Source organism: Homo sapiens, chromosome 10, assembly GCF_000001405.40.
Source record: "Homo sapiens chromosome 10, GRCh38.p14 Primary Assembly".
Lineage (NCBI taxonomy): Eukaryota > Metazoa > Chordata > Mammalia > Primates > Hominidae > Homo > Homo sapiens.
The window spans coordinates 130,899,070-130,905,360 of record NC_000010.11 but is presented as its reverse complement, the minus strand read 5'-3'; the positions used below and the strand labels follow the sequence as shown (position 1 = coordinate 130,905,360).

The following is a 6,291-nucleotide window of genomic DNA, read 5'->3' as shown; positions in this document are numbered from 1 at the left end:
TTCAAAGCAGAGAAGTTGAGCCCAGATGCATTTCATCACTTTGCTCTTCCAGGTTTAACAGGAGGAGCTCACTGTCTGACCCTGGGGCTGTCCCTTCCCCCTCTCTGGTCTCCTTAAGTCCCTATCCACAAAACATTCTATGTTATCACTTAGATCTCTTCCAGCCCCAACTTGCCAGGATTTCTGACTGTGATCATCAATGAAGCCATGGCCCTCCCACCGCATGCTGCCACGGTCTAGCCTGGGCTGTCTACAACGTAAGTGGGGTCTCATCTATGGCCGAGAGGGCTTCAGAACGTCTCGGGTGCCCAGGAAAACAAGGACTTTGAGAATGATGCTGTCCACCCTGTGACCCACTGTGGCCCTCCCCACAGAGGAGTGTAGACGTATCCACGGGGCCTGGGGTCTAGAGGGTCTGTCTACCCATCAGGAAACAAGGCAGGGCAGTGGGGATCAGCCATCCCTGCATGGGCAGCCATACACTGAGTCCATGGTGAGCCAGCAGCAGGGAAGCCAGCTGCCGCCCTGCTGAGGATGGGGGAAGGACGCCTGCCGCCCTGCTGAGGATGGCCCCGATAGAAATGGTCTCAAGATGCTGACCACTATGTGGCTTGGGTGCAGCATTATCAAGGAATTTGTGAGAGGGCTCTTGTATGCTTCAGCTTCTGCTCAGAGACTAATGTCTGTGGCCCCTCCAATGCAGGAGGCCACCACCCCTGCACCAGATGGGCCCTGGCCTGGAGGGGTGGGGTCACCGACTCAGGGGCAGGGGCTTGGCAGGTGGGAAGGCAGGGCCAGCTTTCACCCTGGAGTGGGGAGCTGACTTCCAAAGTCCCTTGATGAAGCCTGCCTCCTTTTAAGCAAATAAAAGCATTAGCCCTCTGAGGCTCTGGGTTTGGGGGTGCTAGGGCTGCTTTAGAGCAGGGTAAGAGCTGACTTGAGCTGTCTGCAGAGGGTGCAGTGGGGTGGGTCCTTAGGGAAGGGCTCAGAAAGAAAGGTCATGGGTCCAGTCTTGAGCCAAGGATAAAAGGCAGAACCTGCAGAGGAACAAGCCTGTGCCTTCCAATAAGCACTGTCCTCTGACACCTGGGCCACCGGAACATCTGGCTTATTCCTCCATTTCTGGTCTCCATAGACAGACTGCAATCCCTGCCCCACTCACTCTCAGCACTGACGTAAACATCATGTGTAGAGGGCATGGTCGTCAGGATGCGGGGCCACAGTCAGGTTTGTCCCCATCCAAAAGCCCCATGCAGGGGCCACAGGGCTCTTTTTAGACCCAAAGGGCAAGGAGCACCTGAGCCCTTGGCAGGTAACTGTCCTCCATGTGCCCTGCACCCTGACTGTCCTTCCTTGTGCAGAGGGTACCCCAGGGTCTCTTGGGGTGCGGTGGTCAGGGGCAGCTGAGGACAGGTATGAGTGTGCAGGTGTGGCACCTCAGCAGGCGGTGTGGAGAGGAGAGTGGGGCATGGCAAGGAGCAGTCAGGCAGGCTGTGGAGACTCTCCAGCCAGGAAGCAGCCCCTGTTGGAACGAGGAGTCTAAGTGGGGAGCTGACTCCTCACCCTCCTCCCTTGCCCTTTGGTGAACCCCCACTGCCACCTTTCACCGACCCCTGCGGCTTTGTCCACTTGAAGCACCTGCAGACACATGCACCTTGCCTTGCTGTGGCCTCCTCGGATGACAGTGTGTGGCAGAGGCTACCCAGGGGCCAGAACGAGCCCTGGAGGGAGCCTCCGGGAATCAAACGGGTTCCCCAGACCATGAGCACTGGGGGTATAGCACAGCCAGATCTGAATGGAGAGAAACAGCCAGGAAGCTGCTGGTCCCAGGAACCCCTGGCCCAAAGGCTGGACATTCACTCTGTATTTCCAGCTGGACAGAGGGAGCTCCTGTCCTCCACGGATGTTCTTTTTTCCCAAATTTTTAACATTTTATTTTGAGACTCTGAAAGGGGCTGATAACATTTCTCCAGCTTCAGGCTAAAATGCTTAAAATATTCCAGGAGGACTTAGCAACATCAGGTCAAGGAATAAAAGCCTAGAACCTGGCTTAAGAGGATGTGAAAAGTTGGGGGCAGAGCCCCTATCTGCCACCACAGAGGCTGGCTTCTCGTTCTCCTGGGCTCTGACCCTTGGCTGAGCAGGGCCTCTCATCATGGAAGCCAGGACTTTGTGGGCTTGATTCTCCATCTGGGACCCTTGTGACATCTCAGAGTGTCTCTAAGCCCCCCGCTGGTTCCCTCCCATGGAGGAATGGATATGTCCACTGGGGTCTGAAGCCTAGAGGGTCTGTCTACCCCATAGATGTGGGGTTCATGAAGGCAGCACCCCATCTGAGACCCTCTCAGCTCTGCCATCTACCAAGGCTGTGGCCTCTCTAAGGCAAACAGAATCAGCTAGTCAGTAACAATGGTCATTACTTAAGAAAATGAACGGTTTTATAGAATCATTATGCTTGGTGAAATGTTGTTTTAAAAGCTTTTTCAACAGACCAGTCTCCCCACTTAATTGCTTAAAAGATTGGAGGAGGCAAACACCTCGTGGTTTGTCTTACCTGTGACGTGAAGCCGATTTATAATACAGTGGTGCTGACATAACGTCAGAAAAACAGCCATTTGAGCAGGAAAATCAAAGCCAGCACTCTTCATGTTTGAGAATTGTGCCGTGGGAGTTCACAGGGAAAAAGCTGACTTGTGCAAAATCCATCTCTGAATCCTGCTGTAGGCCAGACTGCCTGGGTGCATGGTTCCCTCGGGACTTAAAAATCCCGTTCAGAGTCAGTTGCCCAGTCTATATGGTCTAGTTCTGATTCAGGTAGGGTCAGGAAAAGCGTTGGAAATCTTAGTAGAGATCTGGTCCCCAAAAGATGAAACCTAGTGTCACATTAGGGAAAGGAGACCACAGAGGTTGAAATGAATATTTGAATTGTGGGCCACTGATGTATACTTTCCTGGGTCAGGTATTTTTATCAAAGTCATTTTCAATAAGTAAAATGACAATGAAAGTCACAAGTGTCACACACCTGTGATTCTCCGGGGGTGCTTGCTGGTCCACTCTCTCTCACTTCTCCTAATCAGAAAGCCATCGTCCTCATACATCATCATTTTCTATTAAGTGTGCACAACTTCTGCCAGTCTAGCGAAATTGCAAAAATACTGAAAATGTCCATTTTTAAGTTGCTTCTTTCTCCCTGCTTCATGCAAAGCTTATGCTGTCTGCAGGGCTAATTGGAATTAGGCCCCATGAGCTGTCTCAGTGTGAGAGATGCTGCGGAGCTGATGTGGAGGGTCTGTCTGCTCATCAGTGGGGCGTCTGTTGTCCTATTTCCCAGAGCTGGGGACAGGTCAGCCCAACCCTTGGATCAGCACCACCCCAGGGCCTCCTGGCTATGGTACCACAGCATCTGCCCGGAGGCTGCGCCAGCTCCTCCAGAGGCTCCCCGGAAAGCATCTAGGATCTGCCATCATTCTTGGAAGATCCCCCAGGCTTGCAGGGGAACCGCAGTTGTAAATAATACATCACTTCCCAAGTCCTCTCTGATCTGCCAGTGCCTGAGAGCCCGATGAATTCTGCAGGCACGTGTGCAAGCACCCCACTTCATCTGCAGCCACACACTGTGCAGGAGAGGTCCTGCAGGCTGCTTCCGCGCATTCCTTGCTGGGAGGAGACATTTAAAGGAGCCAAAAGAAGCCAAAGGGGAGAGGAAAAGGAGTCACCCTCCCAGCAGGGTCGCCCTCAGGCAAGGCCAGCCCAGGGATGCACTGGCCATGCGGCAAGACTGGAAAACAGCCTGAGCCCCATGGCAGGTGTGCGAGCTCAGCCATCAGCCACAGTGGGGAGGGACCCACCCACAGAATCCCCAAGGGCAGTTGGCCACAAGGGGGATGCTGAGACCTTCTGGTGCACAGCACTGGCTGCAGGATTCCCCTTCGAAGTCACCAACATACCTTAGAGATCCCCAACAGGGAGGACGGAGAGGGAACAAGCCCCCAACACATCTGGAAGGAGGAGGCCATTGCCCACTGCAAGTCTTGGAGAAGGACCTCTTCCCACTAGTGAAAATGAGGATCCAGGTGCTTCTTTGTTGACCCGATTTACAGAATAATTTGTTTTTACTTGGTAGTACCACGATGCTGTAGGAGAAATCTTAACCAAATTAATTCTATTTAGTATACAAGCAGGTATTTGGGTCTCATGTTTAAAGGCGGCATATTTTCAGGAAAAATGAAATAAATCATTCGCTCCAGCTACTCTTTGTGTTAAAGTTCATGCAAAATGTAGGAGGCCTTCCACAGGGTGTTGCCAGCCTGGGAAAGGAATCACCCAGGAGCCTTCTTATTCGGGAGGGGGCTGCCTTCTGTGCTGCTGTGTGGCAGACAGTGCAGGGCTGCTCCAGCCTCCCCACTCGCTAGGGCTCCGTTTGTCTGTGACGTTGCCAGTCTTGGCTGAGCCCTGCAGTGGGTCTTCCTGAGGCAGAAGGGGCAGGATGCAAGGTGGACATTACTCTACCCAGGAGCCTCAGGGGCGGTGAAGGACAAGTCGATCCACAAAACAGGCAGTGGTGGGACACCATGGGAGGCCTTTCATCGCGCTGCTCCATTCCCTCAAGGCAGAGTCACCATCAAAGACCACAGGGTTGAGCTGAGCTTCTCTGAGCAAAATTGAAATGTGAGGACCAACGCTGGGGAGAACATCAGGCTCCAGGGTCCAGGATGGCCAAGGACCTGCAGTGGGCGCTTTGCCAAAACTGGTGCACCAGTCTTGTTTGGGAACGCTGACAATTTTTTTGTGGGGGTGGGGGACGGGTCTCACTCTGTTGCCCAGGCTGGAGTTCAGTGGCATGATCTCAGCTCCCTGCAGCCTCTGCCTCTGAGTCTCAGGCCATTCTCCTGCCTCAGCCTCCCAAGAATCTGGGGCTACAGGCATGCACCACCACGTCCAGCTAATTTTTATATTTTTGTTAGAGACGGGGTTTCACCATGTTGACCAGGCTGCTCTTGAACTCCTGACCTCAGTGATCTGCCCACGTGGGCCTCCCAAAGTGCTGGGATTACGGGCATGAGCCACCTTGCCCAGCCGGGGACTTTGACTATTAAATGAACATGGTAAACTAAGCTTTCTTCCAAAAAACAGTTCTTGAAATTGTTATGGAGGATTGGTAAGAACCAGAGGTTGCTGTCTGAGCACTGTGGCCCCAAATGCCCATGTCGACGTTCCTCACAGAAATCACCTCCAGGTACCTTCCTGACGCCCAGACTCCTGACGCAGCCAGCTCACCTCCCAGGGCCAGACAGAGCTCCCCGTTTCCGCCCTGGCCCCCTTAGCTCCTCTTGGGAGCTTGGTAGGAGAGCACCCGCCTGACTTCCGGAGTCGGAATGGGCCCTGTTTCAGGGCCCACAGGTGAGACCCTGCCTCCCGTCTGTGCTAGGGAGTGCACCTGTGTGCAGCTGGCCAAACTTCAGATGGTTTCGCAGCCTCGGTGGGGTCCCAGTGGGTCCCTCTTCCACACACTCATCTCCTCTCTGCTCTTGCCAATGCTGCCCATGCCCCTGGCTTAGTCACAGCTGCCCCGTCCACCCCAGCTTCAACCCACTGCCCAGTAACCTCTCTTTCTACTTCCTACAGTAGCCAGCTCTCAGGAGCAGGAATTCCTGAGTTGCTTCCACCAGGGCCATGGGAAATTGGAAATGGAGACTTTTCTAACTCCATCCTGGAAACCTTTCTCAGCTGTTTTTAAGCCAGTCTCCACTGTGCCTTGTTATTCTAGAAGCCTCTCTAAGGAGCTTGCTGTGTCCCAGACTGGCACCTGAGATGGGCAGGGCTGGCCCTCAAAATGACCCGGCTCTTCTACCACCACTGCCCTGCCACCTCCAAGAATTTGGACTTGGAGCAGGACTAAAGACCTTCGGATTTGACCTCTCACCTCTGCCTTCGCCTGCTTCTTCCCGGCTTCACCAGCCATATCCATTTCCCCTGGGAGTAGAGGGAGACTTCTTTCCCTGAAGTCTGTGGCTCTAAACCCTGGCTGCCCATCAGAATTGCTGAAGAGCTTTTTAAACCACCAGATTTTCTGGTCTCCCCCAGAGACTGCTGTAGTGGGCCGGGGGAAGGAAGCAGGCATGGGGCTGTTGCCAGCCTGGTGGGGGGTTCTGAGGAGTGGAGACCCCTGCTCAGGCCACAGGCTGAGGTTGTCCTTCTCTCCTTTAGAGGAAACGTCTGTGCCCCAGTGCCCTGGGCTCACCTTTTGGTGGGCACTGAAGCCTCTGGAATTGGGAAATCCTTTGAGAAGCC

At 53.8% G+C, this 6,291-nt stretch overlaps 1 annotated feature.

The window, feature by feature from the left end:
- Nucleotides 3,221-4,113: an enhancer, noted in NCBI's record as "H3K4me1 hESC enhancer chr10:132699511-132700403 (GRCh37/hg19 assembly coordinates)". NCBI's record gives its function as "activates a minimal SCP1, AML or CMV promoter by ChIP-STARR-seq in naive H9 embryonic stem cells {active_cell/tissue: H9 hESC(naive)}" and the evidence as "EXISTENCE:reporter gene assay evidence [ECO:0000049][PMID:30033119]".